Source organism: Homo sapiens, chromosome 7 (assembly GCF_000001405.40).
Source record: "Homo sapiens chromosome 7, GRCh38.p14 Primary Assembly".
NCBI classification, from domain to species: domain Eukaryota; kingdom Metazoa; phylum Chordata; class Mammalia; order Primates; family Hominidae; genus Homo; species Homo sapiens.
Genome location: NC_000007.14, coordinates 143,877,396 through 143,901,960, shown reverse-complemented (window position 1 = coordinate 143,901,960; position 24,565 = coordinate 143,877,396). Strand labels below are relative to the sequence as shown.

The window sequence follows — 24,565 nt, the reverse complement described above, 5'->3', positions numbered from 1 at the left end:
GTTAGTGTCCGGGGCGGGGAGCGGTGGGCGGGGTGCGACGTTTAGCGTCTGGGGAGGGCCGGGCGTGGATTGCGGCCTCTGCGCGCGCCCCCAGGTGATAGAGCCGTTCCACCGAGGATCCCTTCCTTCGTCTCTACCCCGTTGATGATTTTTCTCTGCAGCTCGGTGCCTATTTCATTCTCGCCGCATTGTTATGCCCTCTGCTGGGCAGGAGGCGATGACCCCCCCTATTTTCGTAGGATTTGTTTTTTGCTCCGCAAGGAGCCATTAAGATCTGAGCTAGCAGGAACCCTCGAGGCGATTTGATCTCGCCAGCTGGGGGCTTGCATTCTTCTAGGCTAGCTTGTCTCCGTTAAGCCCAGGTGGAAGTTCTCATCCACCCCAGTGCTCTAGGCGCCCACGGGCGCAGTGTGGGTTTGTGGTGGGGGAAGGGACCTGGGGAGGGGTGGCGGTGAGAGCGGCGCGGGGATTCAGGCTGAATGTTAGTCTGGAATGCATTTGGCCTGAAGCAGCAAGTGCTGGGTGATACAGTTCCCTGGTAAACAGCCGAGAGCTGGCCGCTAGTTTGGCCCAACCTGCAACGGAAGAAGGCCTTAAGTACAGGAGAAAAAGATCTTTGCCAATTGGATAATCATGGAAATTTAGAAGAAGTACAGCTCGAACTAGACGTAAAGGACAGAATGTGTCTGTCTAGCTGACCAGCCAACCATCGGTCCATCACTTTCATCCTCCAAACTAGTGATTTGTTGATGAATTGGTTTCAATACTTTGTTTTAAAATGTTGAATAAAAAGTAAATGAAATATCTCAGAATGGTCTAAAAAATAATGAAACGAATGCCTGACCATCTCCTTGGGTCAAGAAATAGGGCGTCACAGTACCTTAGAAGCCCATGAGTCCCAACTGATGCCCATGGTCCATTCTCCTCCATTCTCTGAGATGTGACATCTTTCGTGATTTTTGTCTTAATTTAATGAATCCCTTGCTTTTCTTTTTAGTTTTACCATATTTGTGTGTGTATTCCTAAAACATATGTATTGGCTTTCTCATTATAATGACATTATATTAATGACATTATCCTGTACGTATTCTTAAGTTTTATAGATTCATCTTTCATGCTTCCTTCCATTTTCGTTTTCGTCATTTAAGGTGTAAATGTACATAATTTATCCATTCTACTGCTGATGGACATTGGATTGTTTCTACTTTTGGAGGTGTATGATTTATCTATAAGCTATGTAACAAATTACCCCAACACCTAGCAGCTTCAAACCAAAGCGAACAAACAAAACAAGTCCTGTTACCTCCTATCTTACAGTTTCTGTGATCAGGAATCCAGGAGGGGCTTAGCTGGGAGTCTCTGACTCAGGGTCTCTCACAAGCTGTATCAACAATCAAGGTATTGACTGGGCCTCAGTCATCTCAAGGCTAGGCGTAGGGTCGAGGACCTCTCCCAGGCTTACTCACATGACTGCTGGCAGGCCGATTGGCCTCACTGACCCTGGCTGTACACATCAGTTCTTTGCCACATGGGCCTCTGTATAAAGAATGGTTGCAACATGGCAGCTTACTCCCCCCAGAGAGAAGGCTCCCACAGAGAAAAAGAGAAAGACAGAAGTCAGATTCTTTCTGTAACCTCAGAAGCGACATCCCATTATTTTTGCCATTTTATATTCATTAGAAGTGAGTCCCTAGGCCCAACTCACACTGAAGGGAAGGGGGTGACACAAGGACATGAACACCTGGAGGCAGGGATTATCGGGGCCACTTTAAAGCCTGCCCATGTCCTCTAATATTCAAGTACACTTGTGTGGGAGCTTCCCTAGAGTATATAGCTGGGAGTAGAATTGCGGAGTTATAAGATTTATGTGTATTCAATTTTATTGGGTCATTTCTAAACTTTCCAAAGTGTTAAACCAGTTTGCACTCCCTCCAGCAGTGGATGAGCATTCTTGTTGCTCTACATGCTTGCCACAGCTTAGTCTTGTAAAATTACATTTTTTGTCAGTCTGGCAGGTATGAAATAGCATTTAACTGTGATTTTAACTAGCATTTTCCATAACTAATGAGATTGACTTTTTATATGTTGATCAGTGCTTTCTCTTTGTGAAATTCTGATTCCTGTCTCTTTCATTTTTGTATTGGATTGTTTGTTTACCTTTTTTATTGACTCATTGGAATGCTTTCTTTATATAATCTGGGTACGAAGCAGTAATTGTTAGCTATATATGCCACAGACATCTTTCCAATTTGCTTTTGAGGTTTTCTTTCTCTCTATGTCTTTATATCTGTTTCTTTCTCTGTTTCTATCAATGAATCTAAGTTTTGAATTTAATTTCAAGTTAGTAGTACTTTCTTTTATAGCTTTTCTTGTTTGATAATTGTTTTCTCAAGATCATAGATTAATTTTAGTGTATCGTTTTCTAAAAGTGTTATAGTTTTGCCTTTGGCAATTAGTCTTAATCCACATGGAAACTGATTTTTATGTTGTTTATTCCATATGGATAATCTGTTGCCCCAGCACCAGTGATTTGCATGAATCAGGATTTCCATATAAGCATGAATTCGTTTTAAGCCCCCATTCTTATTTTCTATTTGTCTAACTCTGCCTCAATACTAAATAATTTTTAACCACTATAGTTTTATTAAAAGCCTTGAAATTTGGTAGGAAAAGTCCTATCACCTGTTTCTTCTTCTTTAAGAGTGTTTTAGCTTTACTTGGACCTTTGACCTTCCATATAAATATTTAAATAAACTTATCAAGTTCTCCAAAACAAGAAACAAACAAGCAAATAAACCTGTTGGAATTCTGATTGATAATGGATCAACTCTGTGTCTTAGTCTGTTTTGTGCTACCATAGCAGAATACCTGAGACTGAGTAATGTATAAGGAACAAAAATTTATCAGCTCACAGTTCTGGAGGCTGGGAAGTCCAAGATTGAGTGGCTGGCATCTGGCAAGAAAGAGCCTTCTTACTGTGTCATTCCATGGCATAAAGGCAGAGAAAGGCTGAAAGAGAGTGTAAAAGGAGGGTGAATGCCGCCTTTTATAATGAACTCACTCCTACAGTGATGGCATTAATTCATTCACTCTGCTGTCATGACCTGATGGCCTCTCATTAAGCCCACCTCTTAACACCATTGCATTGGGGATTAAGTTTCCAACACCTGCTTTTTGAGGGACACATTCAAACCATTGCACTCTATAAATTATTTTGGGCAGAAATTATTTCTAAGACATTGGCCCTTTTCCTCAATGAACATGGTATATGACACTATTTAAGTCATCTTCAATGTTTTGTACTATTTTTTATTGTTTTCTTTTGGCTCAGTTTTTGTTAAATTTCTAGGCACGTCATATTTTTACTGCTATTGTAAGCATTTTCTTTTGTAAAAGTTATATTTTGTAGTTTATTGTTGCTGGCATACAGAAATTCAGTTGCCTTTTATATATTAATTATATATCAATCAAACTTGAGAAAATTAATAATTCTAAATTTACCTGTAGCTTCTTTCAGATTTGCTACATAGGCAATCATATCATCCGAAAATAATGATAATTTTGTTTATTCGTTTCTAATTCTCATACCTTCAATTTATTTTTTCTGTCTTATGACAATGACTAGGAGCTCCAGTACACTGTTGAATAAAAGTAATAAAGGGCATCTTGTTTTGTCCTTAAGATAATAATGAGAAATATTTCATTATGTCAACTTAAAAATGACATTTGCTATAGTTACTTTGTAAATGTCTTCCCCATCATAAGAAAATTCTGTTCTTCTTTTGGTAAGCACTTTTATTATAAATGGATGTTTTTTCAAATGCTTTTCCTGTAGCTGTTGAGAATATATATACTTTTTTTCCTTTAACTATATTAACAACATAGTAAAGTATAGTATTTAATTTCTGATATTAAACCAATTTTGTATTCTTGGAATAAACCTTTTGTGGTAAATATGTAGTAATTTCTGTATGTGGATATAGATACAAAAGGTAAACATTGGATATTTATATTTATACGTGTGATTTAAGATTGGCATGTAATTATACTTTTCTGTACTATCCTTTTCTGATGCTGGTATTATCATAAAATAATATGAATAGTATTCTCCCTTATGCTATTCTTTGGAAGAATTTGTGCAAGATTGGGATTATCTGGTCCTTGAATATTTCCTTGAATCACCTGTAAAATCATCTGTGTTTGGAGTGTATTTTTTCAGAAGATTTTAATGATTATAGTACTATTTAGGTTTTCCTATGGAGTCAGTTGTAGTAAATTGTATTTTCCAAGATATTTAACAATTTCACATATACATGAATGTATCAGTATACGTACATGTATATGTTTATTCAATATATATAAATACATTTGACCATTGAACAATGGAGCAGTCGGGATACTGACCCCCCTCAGAATTGAAAATTTGTATATAACATTTGAGTCCTACAAAACTCAATACTAATAGCCTACTAATGAGTGGAAGTCTTACCAGTAACATAAGCAGTTGATTAACACATGTTTTATATATGCATTATATTCTTAACTAGAGAAAAAGAAAATGTTATTAAGAAAGTCATAAGGAAGAGAAAACATATTTACCATTCATTAAGTAAAAGTGAATCATCATGAAGGTCTTCCTTGTCATCTTCACATTGAGTAGGCTAAGGATGAGGAGGAAGGGAGGAGTTGGTGTTGCTGTCTTTGGGGGTGGCAGAGACAGAAGAAAATCCAGACCAACGCGGTTCAAACCTGGATTATTCAAGGATGAAGTGTTTATATATGAATATATATATATATATATATATATATATATATATATATATATATATTCAAGATTAACAAAATAAAACTGTTTATAAAATCCTCTCATTCTGTTTATAAATCTTTCCATTATCTATTGATATGGCCACTTTTTCATTGTTAATATGTGTACATTTTCTCTTTTTGTTTTAATTTTTCCAGAACATGGTCTACATTATTAGTTTTTCAAACACCAACATAAAAGCTTTATGTCTTTTTCTAATTTTTACCTATTTTATTACTTTCTTCTTTCTTTGAATTTTTTCTGTGATTTATTTTCTAAGCTTTTAAATTATATGCTTAGCTCATTAATTTTGAGCTTTTCTTCCTATGTAAGCTTTTAAAGCTATACATTTCTATCACTACTTTTTAGCTACATCTGACAAGTTTTGATATGATTATTTTTGACCATGTAGCTTTAATTATTTATAATTTTCCTTATAGTCTGTTCTTTGAGACATGAATTTTTTATAAATGTACCTTTTAAATTCCATTTGGCCATATGAAGTTTCTTTTGTTATCTTGTAGTTGTAGTTGCCTAATTTATATTGTAGTCAGAGATTGCATAGTGCCAATTCTTTTAAATTCGCTGAAGCTAGCTTTAAAACCCAGTAAGTTTTCTTTGTGTGCGTAAAAAGAATGTGTAGTCTGTAATTACATGATGTTCTGTGTATCAACTGTTTTAATTATACAACCCAATCTTACATATCTTTAACTTTTTATTTGCTTGAGTTGCCAATTACAGAAATAGGTATGTTAAATATTCTCACCATGATGGTGGATTTGATAATTTCTCATAAATGTATATATTTTTGCTTCATATATCTTGAGGCTATGTTATCAGTGAATTGTTGTAAATTGAACATTTTATCATAATGTAGGGACCTTACATTATGATACCTATTAATGTTTTCTGTTTTAAAATCGTATTTTTTTCAAAGATCAAATCAAGGTTTCTTTGGTTTTTGCCTCATTTATCTCTCTTTTATCGTTTGACTCTAACTCTTCAGAATCTGTTTTAAATATATATGTAGTAAACTTATTTGGATTTTTTAAAAGTCTGGATTTTTAAAATATTGTTTGACAATTTATAACTTGTCATTGAATAATCTGTGTATATTTATTGTGATTAGTAATACAAAGTTAGATTTATTTCTACCATCTTATTATTTGCTTTTTATTTTTCCTGCCTTTTATGTTTCTTTCCCTGCCCCTCCCCCCACCCATTTTTTTCCTTCTTTCTTTCTTTGCCCATTTTTTTCTTTCTTTTATTTGGAAGTTACATGTCTTAGTTCTGATGTTTTAATTTTATAATAGGTTTAACGCATATAATTCCTAATTTTTAAGATGTTTAACTAGTTTTATAACAGATTTAATTTAGCATACTTAAGTTAAATTGATCCTTAGTACCTTGTCTCTTACCCCGCAAGTATCAAATGATTATTGTTATTTAATACCATCAGTGTATTAAATATATGTTTACCAACATGTGTTTACAGATTTTTCTTTTTACAAAAAAAAACCCTGAGTTATAATGTGCGTAGAGTTAGGTTCACAAATAATAAGTGTACAGATCAGTGAATTTTATATATGTATATGGTCCTATCAGGATATAGATTTACAACACCTCAGAAGACTTTGTTTTTCCCTACTCTAGGTAATTTTCACTCTCAAAAATAACCACTATTCAGACCTCTGTCATGATATATTGGTCCAATCTTGATCTTCACATAAATTGAGTCATAAACAGGTATCCTTTTGTGTTTGTTTTATGCAGTTTTAGGTCGATGAGATTCTTCCATATAGTGGCATATAGCAGTACTTTTTTTTCTATAGTATTGTATAAGTATATCACAAATTATCCATTCTACTGTTGATGGACATTTATTTTTTCCAGTGTTTCTGACTATTACAAATAAATCTCATTTGAACATATCTTTGGTAGACATAAAAACTTACTTCTCATGAACATACATCTGGTCAGCCTAAATAATGTCAGACAGTTTTGCCACATAGCTGTATCGATTTATGTTCCCATCAGAAATATATATAAGTTCATCAGCTCCAGATCCTCATCACAATTTGATATTGTCACTATAGTTAATTTTAGCCACGTGAAATGGATATAGGTATCTTATTATGGTTTTAATTTGTATTACTTTGATGACTAATTATATTAAGCATCTTTTTGTATGCTTATTGGCCATTTGAATACCATATTTTGTGATGCACCTGCACATGTATTTTGTCTATTTGGGGGTAAAGGGGTGGTTTCTTTTTTTAATTAATTTTGTGAGTGTGTTAAATTATATTCCGAATATGCATATATATTTTTTCTTGTATCAGCGATTTGCAAATATCCTCTTCCAATCTTTGGCTTGCTTTTTCCCATTGGTAATTATGTCTTTTAATAAAAAGAACCTCTTTATTTAATTTTTATAATATCTAATTTTTATTGTTAATAAATCCAAACATTTATGCTTAGGACTTGAGTTGTATTGACGAGAATTTTGCCTACCTCTAGGTCACAAAAAGATTCCTTATGCTTAATAGTTCTACCATTCACATTTAGTTTTATAATTTATCTCAGAGTATTTTTTGTATATGATATGAGGTATGGGTTAAGGGTTCATTGGTTTTTATATAGACATCTAATCAATCAAGAACTACTTATTGAAAAGGCATTTCACACCATTAGACTTTTTGAATCTATGTTCATTGAGTAATATTCGTCTCTAGGTTTTTGTTCTTATAATGTACTTACGAGATTTTGCTATCAAAGTTATGCTGGGTGTAATAAAAATGAGTTGGGAAGAGTTTCTTCATTTACTAGTCTCTGGAAGAAGTTTTATGATATTAGTATTATATTTTTCTCAAGTGTTTAGAAAAATTCACCATAAAAATCCTTTTGGGACTAAACTTTTTTGCAGAATGTTTTTGATTTTGGACTGCATTTTTTTTATGTATAGGATTATTTATATTTTCTGCTTCTTCTTGCTGTTTTGGATAAATTATGTTGTTTAAACAATTTGCAAATTCATCTGAGTTTGTTAAATTTATTGGCATATGATTACTTGTAATATCACTTTGTTATATTTTTAATGTCTTTTGGGACTGCAATAATGTCCCCTGATAATTATAATGGATTCTCTCTCTGTGTCTCTTTATTGATCATTCTTAGTTTGGTTCATTAAAACCAACTTTTGGTTTTACTGAATTTCTAAATTTTTTAAAATTTGATTCTTGCTTTTATGTTTATTATATTCTCTGATTTACTTTAAATTTGTTATTCTTTTTCTAATGTTTTGAAATAGTTTACTTTCAGTCTTTCCCTTTTATTAATGTATGCATTTAGAGCTATAGAGTTTTCCTTTATTAAGTAATTCCTTTATTAAGTAATTGCTTTTGCTGCCTCCTGCAAATTTTGATAAATTGTATTTTAATTATTATTTAGTTAAGATATTTTCTAATTTCCATTGTGATTTCTTCTCTGACCTAAGGGGTGTTCAGAAGTGTGATCCTTAATTTCCAAACGTGGGAATTTTCTAATTAAATAAATAAAAATTATTTATTTCTGGTTTAATTCCATTAAGATCAGAGAATATATTCTACATCTTTTTGAGTTTCTTGAGACTTGCTTCATACCCAGTATATGTTTTATTTGAGAAAATGTTTGACACGCACTAAAAATCATGTATATTCTGTTGTTGGTAGGTGTATATGTACCATATGTGTCAACAGGGTCAAATTTGTTAATTATGTTATTCAAATCATGTATATCCTTACTGATTTTTATGCACTTGTTTATTCAGATTACTGAGAAAAATGTACTTAAATCTTCAACTATGCTTGTGGACTTGTCTTTTCTTCTTTTATTATTGTCAACTTTGCTTTATAAATTTTGAAGTTATTAAGGATACAAATTTAAAATTTTTGTATTGCTGTACTGAATTGATCCTTTTATCATTATGAAATTTGTTTTATATCTACAGTAACACTTGCTGACAGTAATGTTTACTTTGCCCATTGTACATAAGCCATACTAGCTTTCTTTTGGTTAATGTTTGCTTGGTGTACCTTTTTCCATCCTTTCACTTTCAATATTTCTCTTCTAAATGAACTCTTTTTCTAATTGGATTTTTAATCCATTTATATTTAGTATAATTATTTATATAGTTGGTATCTTAGTTGTTTTGGGCTGCTGTGACACAAATGTGATAGACTGGTGGTTAAACAACAAACATTTAAAGATAAACCAGCAGATTTAATGTCTGGTGAGGGCTGGCCTCCTAGCTTATAGACAGCTACCTTTCTCACTGTATTTTCACATGGCCAAGAGAGGGAGCTCTAGTCTCGTTCTCGTCTTATAAAGATACTAATCCCATTATGAGTGTTTCACACTCATGACATCATCTACATCTAATTACCTCCCAAAGGCCCACTTCCTAATACCATTCCATTGGGGGTTAGAATTTCAACATACAAATTTTGGAGGGACACAAACATGCAATCTATAAATATTGGGTTTAAGCAAGGTTGCAGTGAGCCGAGGCAGCAGTGAGCCAAGATCGCACCACTGCAATCTAGCCTGGCAACGGTGACACTCCTTCTCCAAAAAAAAAAAAAAAAAAATTGGGTTAAAGTCTACCAATTTGCACAGTTTTCTCTTTGTTCCATTTCTTCTTTGTTATTTTCTCTTTTCTTGATTTCTTTCGAATTCAACACTTTCTATTAATTTTTCTTCAATATTTTGAATTATAATTTTTTAAATTATTTTAATGGTTACTTTAGATATTACAGTTCACCTTATTGATTTATTATGACCTACCTTAAATTATTACTTCTATGTATTCTCAATGCAAAATTTTAAGTTTATCTCCATCTTGCAGCTGTACTATTGTCTGTTTTATTTTTTATATGCTTCTGTATTCCATAAGGCATTTTGTTTATTTAAACAGTCAATATTCATTTATATTTGCCTATGTATTTACTCTTTTCAGTGTTCTCTATTAATTCCTACAGCACTGTACTTCTATGAGGAATAATTTTCATAAAAAATTAGTTTTAGTAGTTATATTCTAGTGGAAAATGCTTTCAGCTTTAGTGTATCTAAAATTACATTGCCTTTATTTTTGAGGAATATTTTTCTTGTGTATAGAATTTTAGGTTGGCAGATTTTTCTTTTTCTTTCATCTTTTAGGAATTCTGTTGTGTTCTTATTTTCATCACTCTTTTGAAAAATTAGCTGTATTTTTTGTTCATTTAAATGAAAAGTATCCTTTATCTCTGGCTGCTTTTCAGATTTTCTCTATGAATTTGGTTTTCAGCAGTTTGAATGTGATGTGTCTCAATGTAGTTTTCTTTCTGTGTATTCTGCTCGGGGAACATAAAGTTTCTTCAGCTTGTGGTTTGATGTTTTTCAAATCATTAATTGATAACATTTTGCTTGTTTTATTATCTCCTTCCTTTCCGTCTGGGACTGTGATTACTCATGTGTCACAACTTTTCACCCTATCTCATAATCCTGTTACACTCTTTCTGTATCTTTTGATCTCTTTGTGTATCATGTTTTCTTTCCTCTTATGTTATGTATGGATACTTTCTACTTACCTTTGCTATACTTCACCAATTCTCTGGTCTTTTGTGTCTAATATGCTATTAAAGCAATCTATTAAGTACCAATTTTAATTATTATTATTTTTCTTTTTTAATTTTTCATTTTACTTTTTTATGAGTTTTATTTCTATGCTGAAATTCCACAGCCTTGTTTCTAATTTCTTAACGTATGAATCACAGTTAAGTTCTCTAAGAACTCAAGTATCTGAACCACTTGTGCCTGTGTTTATTTTCTGTTATTTCTCTTGAGTTATTGGCAACTTATTCTGTTTTTTTAACTGCTTTCCTAATTTTTGATTCAATGCAGAATATTGTGGATGAAAAAATATAAAGGTTTTGATTGATGTTATTTTCTTTCAAGAGGATTTTTTGGGGAAGTGGGCAGATAAAGTACCAGCAGATTACTTTGATGCTATCAAATATTAGTTTTAGGCTTTGTTAGGACTAGCCCATTTAAGGTTTGATCTTTCTCCAAGAACATAGTCTTTAAACCATAAGATATGCTTCTTCATATGTCAGGGATTTTCTTATGTGTCAACTGAAATCATGGAGTGTTTATTAGAATGTTTCTTTTTGTTGGGGCATAAACTCCATTGCTTTTCTCAGAACAATATAACCACTGAAATGACTGCTCAACTGTTTAGCTCTTTGGCCACTATTTCCTACAAGTTTCCTTGAGGTCTCTCCTATTGCATGCATAGCTTAGGAATCAGCCAGTGACATTAGGGGAATTCATATATAAAATTTTAGATTAACTTGTCTGGTTTCTTCATGTCTGAAACTTTGCCCTTTGAGCTCCACCTGGTTTGATAGTCTTGAACCAGTAAGACTGACACTTCCTTTTCAGCCTCAGTAACCCTGCACTGTAAAATGAAAAATGCCCGAAAGTAAAAAGCAATAGCGAATATACAACTCATGTCCTGTGTTTTCTGTTCATCAAGGATTATAGTCCTTTTGTCCTGTTTATGTTGTTTACTTTTCTGAGTCTTCAGTTGGTTTCCTATATTTTGTTGAGCTTTTATTATTGTTTCCAATGGGAGGATTATTCCAAAGATATGAGGGAATTTCAAGAAGTTTGTGGGAATAATGGAATTAAAAATTTTTTGAAAAATAAATGTTGCCTCAACATAAGCCCCTTCAAGTTCAAGACACTTTTGTAAGCAGTGATAACAGCAATTTAGTCCATCACTAAGAAACTGAAGGTCCTAGGAATTTAGCCATGTAGATACAGTATTTTTACATTATTAACCAAACAAAAATGGGTGCCCTTCTCCCAGCACTTTGGGAGGCCGAGGCGGGCGGATCACAAGGTCAGGAAATCGAGACCATCCTGGCTAACATGGTGAAACCCTGTCTCTACTAAAAATACAAAAAATAAAATAAAATAAAATAACTGGGTGTGGTGGCGGGTGCCTGTAGTCCCAGCTACTCGGGAGGCTGAGGCAGGAGAATGGCGTGAACCTGGGAGGCGGAACTTGCAGTGAGCCGAGATCGAGCCACTGCACTCCAGCCTGGGCAACAGAGCGAGACTCCGTCTCAAAAAAAAAAGAAAAATGGGTGCCCTTCACAGATTTTTTGAGATTAGGAAACGAAGTCAGAAGGAGCCAAATCAGGACTCTAAGGTGGATGCCTAATGATTCCCCATTGAAACTCAAAATTGCCCTTAGTTGATGAGAGGAATGGGCAAAGTCATTGCCATCGTGGAGGAGGACTGTCTGGTGAAGCTTTCCTGGGTGTTTTCCTGCTAAAGCTATGGCTGACTTTCTCAGAGCACTACAGTAATAAGCAAATGTTATCATTCTTTGGTCTTCCAGAAAGTCAACAAGCAAAACACCTTGAGCATCTCAAAAAACTGTCACCATGGCCTTTGCTTTTGACCCATCTGCTTTTGCTTTGACTGGACCACTTCTGCCTCTTGGTAGCCATTGCTTTGATTCTGCTTTGTCTTCAGGATCATACTGGTAAAGCCATGTTTCCTCTCCTGTTACAGTTCTTTGAGGATATGCTTCAGAATCTTGATCTCACTTGTTTAAAATCTCCATTGAAAGTTCTTCTCTTTTCTGCAGCTGATCTTGATGCATCCCATCAAGTGGAGAGTTTGCTCAACTTTCATTTTTCAGTCAGAATTGTGTAAGCTGAACCAATTGAGATGTCTTTGGTGTCTTCTCTTCTTTAATTCACTACAGATATTTAGATGAGTATTTCTTTTTATCATTTTAGGATTTGTTAGACTCCCTGGATCTGAGGATTGGTGTCTTTCAAGATCTCTGGAAAATTCAATCATTTCTTTCAATAATAACTCTCCCACAATCTTTCTATTATATCTATTTGAACCTCAGATCAGATGTGTCTTAGGTCTTCTCACTATATGCTCTATATCGTCTATCCTTTTTCATATTTTCCATCATTTTTTCGATTTTAGACTGAATTATGAATAATTTCCTCTACTCCAGATCCAGTTCAGTAATTCTTTCTTCAACTTTGTTTAATCTTCTATTTAGTCTCTTCAATAAATTTCTATTTTGAACTATTTTATTTCAATTATTTTTTAATTTCTAGTTTTGATTCTTTTTTATAAATACAATTATTTTCTGTTCAAGTTTCTAGTTTCTATTTTATTTTTCAAATGTACAAAACATGGCTATTCTATGTTCTGTGACTAGTAATTCTGATATCTAAATTTTGCCTGTTTCTGATTCTCTTGTTTGTAATGGCTGTCTTTCATTGTGCTTTATTTCCTGAGTGTTATGTGGTTTTAAAAATTATTAATGTGAGCTTCTCCTTTCATGTGAATTTTTGTCCTAGAAATTATTTCTAGATACATTAAAGTTAAATTTCTCTAGAAAAGATATGCATGTGCATCTTCCAATTGAATACATTAGCAAATTGGGACCACCTCAAATTATTTGCTTAGGGTTTTTGAATTCACAGATGTAGCATGAATTAATATTGCAAACCTATATGGAAAACTGGTTTGTGATTATTCATTCTCATTGATCTTTTTCCCCTTCATCTTTCAGCAGGGTCAAGACAAGCAAATTGCATTGATTTCTTCTGTGACATGAATTTACTTCCTATTTACCTTTACCCTGTTGGAATACCCCTTTGGTGTGTGAGCTTTGTGCTGGGATGTCATTTTTAATTATATTCTTTTTGTGAGCTTGGTCTTAATATCCTAGGCTGGAAACCCCATAGAGTCACTCCCCATACATTCTCCAGGGTTTTGTGGAAGCATTGTGGTGAGAGCCAGCTTTCATGCTTGCTTCCTTCAATGTTTCCTGCTTTTAGTTTGTTTCTGGCTTTGTGTACTCTCTACTTTCCTATCATTTCATTGATGAATTTATAATATTTTGTGTATATATGTTGTTTGCATCAGTAGTATGTTTTGGGACATTTATCTACATTCCTAGAACTAAAACATTATTTTTAACACCTTATTAAAGTTAGATATTTGCATGTGTGATTATATATCAGTATATCATAAATGTACAGCTTGATACATTTTTACAAACTGAACACAACCTTGGGCCAGCACCTAAATTAATTAAGAGAACATTACCAGTAACCCAGAAGTCGCCTTTGTGTTCCTCTCTAGTCACTACCTGGCCCAAGAGTAAATATTATTCTAAGTCTTAATATCAAATATTAGTTTCACCTGTTTTTATATTTATGTAAATATAACAATATAGTATGTACTCTCTTGTTTCTGGCTTAGTTCACTACAGTATGTTGGTGAGATTCAGCTATATTGTGAAAAATGCAAATCATTCATTCTCATTGCTGTACCATATTTCATTGTGAATATGCCACAATTTATTTAAACATTCTACTGTTGATGGTACCCAGCTGATAGAGAGCAGGGTGGATTAGAGCTGAGAAAGCAGGGAGGATAGGATTTGAGTAGTTTCCAGTTTTAGACTACCTTGGATGGTGACACTTTGAGGATTCCAGTACGTGTCCTTCAGTGAAAATGTGTATATTGGGTACACACCTAAAAGTGGTATTACTGAATAATAGTCTTATTTTGCGTTGCAAAATAATACTTGTAACATTTTCAAAATCCAAAGTGTCTAAAGAAAAAAATTACTGCTCAACCCTCCCCCACTTCCTGAAGTAGCCAAATTTGTCCTTATGTTTTCTGTGCTTAAACATAAACACGCAATTATAGAATTTTTTCCCTGCAAAAAGTAGGATCATACTTTTATTGCTGAAAATATACATTAAGACAATTTCTCAAGGTATGAATTGAGCTCATTTTAAAGAATTGCGTAATATTTTTGATATGGATTTTTAATTGTTCATTTATTCACATGTTTCAGAATATTTACCAAACTTAGTATCTCAAAAGTTATTTGAATACTTTCAGGATTTCATAGCAGTCTTCGTTACTCAGAGCTACTCCAGGCAGAACATTAGAAAGGAAAACAAACTCAAGGGGAAGTAGAAATAAGAAAGGATCCAGCATTTAAAATTTAGCTTATAATGTGGTGTCTGAGACTGAGAAAGAGGAGATAGAACCAGCTCAAAATTTGAGGAAGCAGCCAGACAGGGTGGCTTATGCCTGTAATCCCAGTACTTTGGGAGCGGAAGCAGGAGGATCACTTGAGCCCAGGACTTCAAGACCAGTCTGGGCAACAAAGTGAGACCCCATCTCTACAGAAAAAAAAAAAAAAAAAAATACAAAAACTCCCTGGGCATGATGGCGCGCACATCTGTAGTCCCAGCTACTGGGGAGGCTGAGGTGGGCGGATCGATTGAGCCCAGGAGTTCGAGGTTGCAGTGAGCCTCGCTCCACTGCACTCCAGCACAAGACCCTGTCTCAAAAAAAAAAAAAAAAAAAAAAAGGTAAAATTTGAGGAAGCATTAAAAGAGCATGAAGGAAGGAGAAAACTTACTTACAGCACAGGAGGTGTGTAATTTCATCCATTTTCTGCTTTAGGCTGCTGTTTGTTTTTTTGAGGAATGATCCTAAGGATTTTCTTTCTTACCCCATTTCATCCATCCATCCAGTGGACATTACAGAGCACCTGTTTGTGACCTAGTTGAAGTGGGGAATAGAAAGAATAAAATAGAGTTCTTAACCTATGCTTCCTGTAGTTGGAGCAGTTGAAATGAAACCCTTAATTTATATGGGATGTCGTACCCTGTCCCTTTCACCACTGAAGCCACCTTCCCCTGGAAGGTCCACTCTGGACACTACACTTTTGTAGTAAGGGAGAAAGCTTTGTGATGGTCTCTTCCAGAGAACAGTTTGGTCCCAGGACAACCCTTCCTTAGGTACCCAGCAAACAGGGGCCAGGGCAGTGAGGGGTGAGGAATCTGGAGACAGGACAGGGGCCATGCAAATCTCCCTGGGGCCCTGGGGACCAGCCATAAAAAGAGATGAGTGGTTCCTCCAGGTTTTACAGTTGAGCTCTCCAGGTTAGATGAGTAGATGCGAGTGCAGGACCTGGTCAGGCATAAAGCCAGTTCCTGCTCCATGGTCAAGTCTCGTGTTCCACTCAAATAACATGGATCAGAACTAGCAACAAAGTTCTCCACAGGGAGAAATCATATTTGTAGAGAAGCCGCTGCCAGCTGCTTGGGTGAGGATATTTTATGTAGTTTTTTAGTTGATTAAATTTATTTTTATTACAAAATAATGCGTGTGACTATTGAAACGCTAATGAGGTGTATCAAGAAAAAAATAACAAGTAATCCACTTTCCTGTCTGAAGTAACTGGTTCTAATAGTTTATCTTCCATACAATTTCTGTGTTTATATAAGTACATATGAACAGTTTTGAAGTTTTTTTTACACAAAATGGAACGTTTTTTACTATGTTAGATGTTTATTTTAAAAATAATATATAAATATATAGATAGAGGCAATATATAAGTAGATTTATATAAGTAGATTTAACCCATCCTTGGAAATAGTTGTATATTATTTTACACAGAGATCATCATTATTTATCCATCGCTCCCTTGTTAATGAACAGTCTCAACGATTTACTTTGAAACAAATCGTCCTGCTGCACTCTGAGGGCGGGCGTCTGGGTCTCCATCCCGGATCTGGGGCGGCATCTTGGGGTAGAAACTGACACAAAGCCGGGCCTCTGCGGTCCGGGGGCGGCGGCCAAGCTCCGCCTCCACCCGCGGCAGCCAATCAGCTCCCGGGGACGCCCCAACCCCCAACCGTCTGCACTGCAGCCCACCTCCCCCCACACGCCTCCTCCTAGCCACTTCACTACCAATTTGCAAATTCCCAAGGCGTCTGCCCCAGCGCCTTCCCACATCTCTGTGGAAGACTCCCCACTCCAAAGTAGCCTGGTGTGGAAATTGCTGGACGAAAGGGTGAGTCTCGTCCAAAGCTGGTTTCGGGGACCAGACCAGGCCCGGGCACACGGACCAATTCAGGGGCGGCTCCCGATGCAGTCCGCTGAGGTGCGGGTGGGAGAAGGAGGCACTGGGTCGGGGTCCTTGGGGAGCGCGGCCGAGGGGGGCGCACGCGGGGCTGCCAAAGTGGTCGCGTTTTTGGCCTGGGACCCCCTTGGGTTTTGGGTCCAGGGAGGTAGATGTCTTTCAAAAAGGGTTGCCTGCGCTTTCTCCATTGCTGTTTCTATTTCAGCTTCTTTCTACCAGTCTCTTATTTCTTTCATACTGCATTTCTTCTCCAGGAACATAACCAGCAACATATTTTATTTTATTATGAAATATATTTCAAAGCTACGCGCAGGAGATAATATGACAGATTTATTATATGCTGACATTTTATCACCTTTGCTTCAGCGCTCCCTCTCTTCCTCCACCCCCCTTTCTTTCTAAGAAATAAAACACTTAAAAACCCCTTCCCCCCACCAAATCTCATGCCCCCATCCTGAGAGGTAAGTTAGCTTGCATCCCTTACCTTGTATATTTTGTCCTTTATTATTAATGTTTATTTTTAGGTATGCGTTTTTGTTCTGAATTTAAAATTTTTGCACGAGATTCAGTATTACAGGGTTTTAACTTGCGGTGCTGTTAGTCCTGACATTGCAGACCCGGAAGGGACTTAGTGAGTGCCAGTCACTAGCCCGCTTCATTTAGCTGAAAAATCTGAACACTGGAGAAGATAAAAGATGTGCTCACTGTCTCTCAGGTGGGCCTTGACTTGGCAGAATCTTGAATTCAGGTTCTCTTGATTTCTCTCCCTGCCATTTCCTTTACATAAAACCTGCCGCGGAGCTCACCTATCTACATGGCCTTCTGACTTGTTCCTAATGATCCAATTTGGAGAAAGGGAGTTGAAGGGAGATGGGGAAAGGGAGTATGGCTTGGGTTGGGACTCAAACCCCAGTTAGGATTAAAAGGTATGCATTTTCCTGAAATATGAAATATTGAATTTTAGGATGATTTGAATATTTATTTATGAGGCACTCATCCAGTCTTACCGTATACCAGACATTGATTCAAGAACTTTACAAGCATAAACTCACCTAACTTAAGCCTTATAATAAGGCTTAGTATAGGTATTACTTTTCTCATCCCCGTTGTATAGGTAATAACACTGAGGCACAGAGGAATTAGGTAACTTCCCCAAAGTCACACCGTTGGTAAAGTGTAGCTCTGGGATTTGAATCCAGTCCACTTAGTCTGGGTCCCTGTCACCACCCTGCATTTCCCATGCTGGAGCCAGCACCTGTGAGAAAGGTGAAGTGGCCACATACACAAGAGAGAGGAGCAGCTCTCAGCTGATATCATAAAGGAAAGAAATGGGGAGCGGGCACGATGGTGGCTCACGCCTGTAATCCCAACACTTTGGGAGGCCGAGGCGGGCGGATCACTTGAGGTCAGTGATTTGAGATCAGCCTGGCCAACATGGTGAAATCCCGTCTCTACAAAAATAAAAAAATTAGCCAGGCGTGATGGCGGGCGCCTGTAATCCCAGCTATTTGGGAGGCTGAGGCAGGAGAATCTCTTGAACTCGGGAGGCGGAGGTTGCAGTGAGCCGAGATCGCGCCATTGCACTGCAGCCTGGGCGACAGAGCGAGACTCCGTCTCAAAAAAAAAAAAAAAAAAAAAAAGAAAAAGGAAAGAAAGAAATGCGATTTGAACTGTACACCGAAAAATACATTTTGGTTAACTATTGTTTGAACTGTATATTATTTTTAATTTACAAAAGTAAGACACGTAACTGCAAACAGTGCAGAGTTATATAAAAAGTTGCACCTCTCCTATTTCTCAAGTTAAACAATATTAATGGGTAGAAATGTAGCCTTCCCTTCTCCCCACCATAATACAAATATATACGGGGTTTGTTTTTCCTATAAAAACAAAAGCATATTCAACAATTTCTACAATTTGTATTTTCCCCTTGGCAATATATCACGGTATATTCACCGACTAAATGGAGATTCAAGCTCTTCCTAAGAACTGAATAATACTAAGCAGAATGTTTGTCCCACAATTTGCTCAGCCTTTCCCTTACTAATGTAGAGTCAGAGAAGTTTGTATCTTTAATGAAACAGCCGTCCACACTGCCAGGATGGGGTCTCCAGGCGTCCCTAAGCCACAGCAATGCCAAGCCACCAGGGCCGGCGACACAAAGAAGCGCTGTCCCCCGCCAAGCGCCGCCCCCTGGAGCTCCCACTCCAGCCTGGGAGGAAGTGGGGAGGAGGGGACTCCCGTGGAAACCCCTCCTCTCCTCCAGCTCCAGCCTCCTCCCCGCTCCCAAATCCCGGCTCGGTCGCCCAGTCACTGGTACAGGGAAGCCTCTTCCCTGTGCATTCCTCTCTGCGCCAGGCTCTGCCCGCTCCCACCTGCCCCCGTGGAAATCGCAGGGTGACCTGGTGAGTGGCCCTCTCCAAAAGCCTGGCAGGCTGGAGAAGGGGCCAGCAACGGTGGACTCGGCCTGGGTGCTGCGGGGGGGAGGGCAGGGCGGGAGGCCGGGGCGGGGGTGCGGGGCGCGATGGGTGCGCCGTGGGTCTGGGTGTGCCGAAATCAGAAATCATCGGGGACAGAGAATCCCCTTTGTGTCCGTATTTCTGCTGGTGATTTTCCTCTGCGCTTGGGTCCCGCATCCCCCTGCCGCATTGCTCCTCCTCTCCAGGTTCTGACATCTGATGTTTGTGTGTGCTTGCTTTGTGTGGTTGAGTTACCTGAGGGCCTGACCTAGAGAACCGCGTCTAATCCGCTGCTTTGTCGGATGAGAAGGCCCGGGGCTTGAGCAGGGTCGCGGGTAGCTGGTGACAGAGCATTACTTGTGGCCTACTGTCCTACTGCCCTTTGATCTTTGTGAACACTGGCTTTGGGACTGAGCTCTATCTCCCACTGGCACTGGCCCCTGGAGACTTGAGTGAGCGTTCGTGTGTGTGTGTGTGTGTGTGTGTGTTTACGCGCATGGAGGAGCTCCCCTCCTCCCTGCCGGCTGCCCCCCACTCCCCAGCCCCCTCCCTTCTCAGACGTCACCGTTGTGCTCTTTGCAGACTGGCTTTGGGCCTGGGAGGAAAGAAGAGAGTGGAGCCCCGCCAGACTCCAAGCTGAGTGCTGACAGCCTCTGGGAGTTTAGAACATCCCTTCTCACACACTGTGCATTTGATAGAATACTCCCTGAGGCACGCAGATCAACAGCTGGGGGGTAGGCAGCGCCCACATTTAAAAAGGTAATAATACCCAGGTCTTCTCACTCCTGGGCTTGTGCTCCTCAATTATGTCATCCTCTTGAGTGACCTAGGAGAGAAGTGAGAGAATAGGAGTAAGAGAAAGACAGAGCCTCTGGGGAACTTGAGAATTAAGAAGGCAGTTCGGTAAGGTAGAAATAGAGGACTAGAAGAAGCAAAGACTCCAACCCTGCTTACTCCTATGGGGATGGTAGAGGGGCTGAATGGGGAGGATCACAGGAGGGGCTTCAAAGATGGTGGTAAAGGTCTATTTTTTAAGCTGAATGGTAGGTATATGGGAGTTTGTTTAATTTTTCAGATTGTTTTATTATTACCATCTATATCCCTCCACATGTATTCCATATTCTTACAGGTGTATGAATTAAACAATCTTAAGTGAAAAATAAGACTGAGCTGGGAATGTCTAGGACAGAATTCAAAAAAGGGGTTGAACTAGCCCGATGTCTTGGAAAAGACACTGGATATAGAAAGGAAAAGAAACAGAAGGTTCATGAGAAAAAAACAGCATGAAGGAGAGAAGACCTATGGAATTGAATGTGTGTAATATAAACCAGTTTTCGAGGTCAGGCTAGCTAGTTGCTGAAAAAATGATCCTGGGTTTACCCTTATACCCTCATCTGTCATTTAATCATCCAGACATGGAATGTCTATTCATCCAAAGAATAAAATGTATACTCTGGCCTCAGACACTTACTCTAGTTTCAGGATTTGAAATCACACTACCATACGGGATATGGGTGGTGCAGCATCCAGCATGGCCCTCCATCCACCTGCCCTTCCACGCATCTCTCAAAGGGAAAACCAGGTTTACGAGCCATGGCGCTGCTCTGTGGTGGGAGTGGAAGCTCTGCTCTCTCCCTGAGTTACAGGTTGTGCCTTCAATACTTTCTGCTTTGGAGTTGGCTTTGGTTCCAGCAAGCTAAAAGGGGCCAGAGGTGGGCCCAGGAGAAAGAAAGCAGGAAGCATGGGAGGGGTTAGGGAGAGAAATGAAAGGACATTTCCCCCAGGTTTTATTCATTTGAGCTCACCAAGCTTGGAGGACAAACATGGATTCGGGCATAGAGAGGGAGCATTTGGTTCAAAAGTCAAGTGATGGAGTCACTGATAGCTGGTTAAAGTGGGGACACAACCAGCTGCAGAGTTCAAGGGACCCCCATAGAGGAGGAAATCAAATTTATAGATGGGCAGATGCACAACCTGATCAGAGATGGAGGAAGACCTTTTAGGTCCAGTGAGCCAGGATCAGTTGATCAGTCTACCTCATCATGTAAAAACTGTACCTAATCTTTTAATGTGTGTTTACATGCTTAACTGAATTTGTATTAACTCGGTGTTGTTTCTCATTGTAGTAGCAATACATACAACAATTCAAAGGATGCAGATTTGTATAAAGACAGAGAAAATGGTTCACCTCTTTCCTTCCTAATGTAATCAATGTGATTATGTTGAAATGTGGCCTCCATAGATTTTCAATGCATATAAAAGCCTGGTATGTAACAGGTACTTATGTATTCCTGGTGCTTAAGAGTATGGACTCCAGCACTGGGTTTCCTGGATTTGAATCCTAGATCCACCACCACTTAGCACCTGTGTGATTTTGAGCAAATAATTAATTCTCTGGGCATTATGATTTTGGAGTTTTTGTTTTGCCCATCCATAAAATGGGGATAGTGATAGTAAATATCTCATAGGTTTATTGTCAGCATTAAATAAGTTACAGAAATCACGTGTAGTAATGCCAGGAACCTGGTAAGCATTGTGTTGTTACTACTACTAATAATAATTACTACCACTACTAATTACAACTATTACTATTATCTTTGCCCATACAAAAATGACTTCATGTTCTGCATATCATAGTGACTTGAAATTTTCACTTGAAATGTATCTAGGACATTCTTCTAGGTGGATGTAAAATATATTCAACTCATCCTTGAACTAGCTCAGAAAACAACTAGTGAGACAGATATGTGAGGTCCCTGTTCTGCTTGTACTCGTGCCAGCGTTAGAGGCAGCAGAGGCTGAGGGAGAAGGGTTCTGATGGGCAACTCTTTAGTGGGTGTGTGTGGATAGATGGCTGGGGACAGTGCTACAGGGTCTTATGCTGGGTACAATGGGGTATCTGGGGGCTATGTGGAAGTTGGATAGGTGTGGGTTTGGGTTAGAGATCCTGCACCCACAAGAATCAAAAATGGTTCTAGGAAACATTCTTTGTCATTAGTCTATCTGTCTGTACTTCTAGGTTTTCATTTATCTCCCTTTGTAATTTTGTGTGGCAGTAAGCATCCTGTACGTATATCTTTGATACTGCCCTTCTTAGTTCTGTAAGAACGGTTATTAGAAGAAAGGTTGTTGGGTCTAAAGATAGGCACACCTTTGAAGCCAAGTAGGCACCATAAAATTGTTTTTGAAAAAGAGCGCAGACATTCTCCGTCATTCCTGCCGATTGTGATGGTCTTTTAAGTATTAAACATTATTAGCCTTTCAAATATTAAACTTTACTAGCCACCTTTGTCTTCTTCATCTTCATCTCCTTCCCCTTCTTCTCCTCCTCCACTTTCTCCTAGAAAGAAGTATCATCTTTTTTAACAATATTATGAGCAACACATGATATATTTTCCATTACTTGACTACTAGTGAGATTGAGCATTTTTTCCACACAAGTGGCCATTTATATTTTCTTTTCTGTGCCATATCTTCTCTTAGAAGGACAGGATTTCCGTAGATAGAAAGATTTGGGAGAGGGAACAGAATGGAAAGAGATTAGGAAGATAATCTAAAATGAAAACAGGGCATGTCCAAGGGCGCCTGGCAGACGGGATGCTGCAGGGAGAAAGGCAGCAGGAGAAAAGGCAGGAAAAGCCAGGGAGCAGCCAGCTCTGCAGGCAGTCCACACCAGGAGGCAGTAGATGGTCCCCAGAGACCAAGGTGGAGCTTTGAGATTAAATAACATGATTAGAGTGGTTTTAGAAAAGTAAAGGTGGGAAGAGGTCTTGGTAACTTAGAAATTGGGTCGGTTGAGTCCAGGCATGAATTACTAAGGACCTAAACTAGGTTAATGGCAGTGTGATTGGAAACCATGAACAAGGACATTAATAGGACTTGTGACCAGCTGGATATGGCAGCAGCAGGGAGAAGAGACATACTGTGACACTGTGCACTTTGCTATCCTGATTATTTGTGGGCATCAGGAGGAGCAGGGAAGAGACAAGCTTCTTGCTTACCAAATGTTCATATCAGTATCTTCTCAATAGTCCCCTGAGGTAGGTAGGTCATTAATGCTTCTGTTTAACTACTAGAAACGTTGAGCTTATGTAATTTGCCTTAAAAGAGCTCACTTAGAGGGAAATTAATAAATTCAAGACTTTTTTAGTTTAGAGACTGGCTATAAATGGCCAGTATGGTCTTGAACTTGTTACCTCAAGACTGGGGCTATTTTATCCTGGCTTGTGGAAGGCCCACAGCCTGTGTGAAGGGCTTTCTCAAGGGTACACAGAGATATATGAGAAATGAATGTAATAGTAATTAGCATTAGTGTTAGTGTTAGTATTAGTATGGTACCAAAATATGAAAACTATTAAATCAGAATCAATACATGCTCAATTCAGTGCTTGTAAAATCTATGTTAGGTTAAATTGTTTTTCCACTGCAAGAATTCTCTATTATTCACATGCTTAAATTAAATGGTTTATTCTTAACCAAATAATTATAAACATATACGTTTATGCATATAAATAATACTTATGAAAAGGCATTTAACCTATGTTATTTCCCTTAATCCTCAGGACAAGCGTATATGGCAGATATTATTATTCCTATTTAATTAATAATGAAACTAAATCTGAGATGTGTTGTCCGCGTCTCACAATTGTTAAGCAACAGAGCTGAAATTCAAACTCAGACTGCCATAACTCCAGAGCCCAAGTTTATAATCAGGTTGCGTATTATGTTGGGAGTGAGCATATTATCTGACAAGGGAGATAGACAAGTAGTAAGGGCCAGTGATTAAATTGTAAGGGCTGTCTGCATATTCCAAGAGGAGGTCAGAAAAGGACAGAAAGTAAGTGGTTCTAGAGGTTGGATATAAAGAGGTTACCTCGGGCCGCACTGACAGAGGTGGTTCAGCCTCATGGACTGAAGAGCAGTGATGTCCTGTGCTGCTGAGTGGTCACTGAGGATGAGACAACCTGCATGACCTGACCATGAAAACACATCTGTCCTTGGAGGAAGTGTTTCAGTACAGTGCTCATAGCAGAGGTCAGACTATAGAGCATCATTAGTGGGGATCTCATTGTGAAGAAGCCGAGGATATTTGTGAATTCACCTCCACACTTTTGTCAGCTGCATCCCAGGTGCAATTAGGATGCTGCAGTAATTGCATATCTTGTTACCTTCTGCTCCTGGTTATGTGAGACTTGCATTTAAACCACAGAGGACTTCCACTTTCCTCTTACCTAGCCTGTGGCTTTGACCAAAGAACCTTTTCTGAAAGCCCAGGCATTTCAGATG

At 37.9% G+C, this 24,565-nt stretch overlaps 1 protein-coding gene and 1 long non-coding RNA gene across 10 annotated transcripts in view, besides 4 other annotated features; one reads left to right on the top strand and one right to left on the bottom strand.

Annotated features, from left to right (window-relative positions):
* The window catches only part of TCAF1 (TRPM8 channel associated factor 1), a 50,802-nt gene that overhangs the window by 216 nt on the left and 26,021 nt on the right, over nt 1-24,565 (top strand). For 2 of the 8 annotated variants that reach the window (NM_001206941.2, XM_005250075.4), the window contains exon 1: nt 16,591-16,751. The exons of 4 other annotated variants lie outside the window; for them this stretch is intronic. The gene's annotated coding sequence lies outside the window, so the exon portion shown is untranslated. Of the gene's footprint in view, nt 1-16,590; nt 16,752-19,108; nt 19,226-19,861; nt 20,039-24,565 lie in introns of those variants that run through there. 2 more of the 8 variants (XM_005250077.3, XM_005250076.5) reach the window with 2 other exon arrangements.
* LOC105375549 (uncharacterized) lies at nt 8-16,510 on the bottom strand. 2 transcript variants are annotated; one of them, XR_002956526.2, is made up of 4 exons: nt 16,411-16,510; nt 15,316-15,454; nt 4,600-4,749; nt 8-3,009 (listed from the first exon to the last, which is right to left on the bottom strand). It is a non-coding gene; the product is annotated as an uncharacterized LOC105375549 (long non-coding RNA). The 2 variants fall into 2 exon arrangements; XR_007060574.1 differs by having other exon boundaries at nt 8-4,749.
* Nucleotides 280-817: an enhancer, noted in NCBI's record as "H3K27ac hESC enhancer chr7:143598237-143598774 (GRCh37/hg19 assembly coordinates)". NCBI's record gives its function as "activates a minimal SCP1, AML or CMV promoter by ChIP-STARR-seq in primed H9 embryonic stem cells {active_cell/tissue: H9 hESC(primed)}" and the evidence as "EXISTENCE:reporter gene assay evidence [ECO:0000049][PMID:30033119]".
* Nucleotides 555-604: an enhancer, noted in NCBI's record as "active region_26796". NCBI's record gives its function as "activates an Ori minimal core promoter by ATAC-STARR-seq in GM12878 lymphoblastoid cells {active_cell/tissue: GM12878}" and the evidence as "EXISTENCE:reporter gene assay evidence [ECO:0000049][PMID:35858748]".
* Nucleotides 16,696-16,755: an enhancer, noted in NCBI's record as "active region_26795". NCBI's record gives its function as "activates an Ori minimal core promoter by ATAC-STARR-seq in GM12878 lymphoblastoid cells {active_cell/tissue: GM12878}" and the evidence as "EXISTENCE:reporter gene assay evidence [ECO:0000049][PMID:35858748]".
* Nucleotides 16,786-16,835: an enhancer, noted in NCBI's record as "active region_26794". NCBI's record gives its function as "activates an Ori minimal core promoter by ATAC-STARR-seq in GM12878 lymphoblastoid cells {active_cell/tissue: GM12878}" and the evidence as "EXISTENCE:reporter gene assay evidence [ECO:0000049][PMID:35858748]".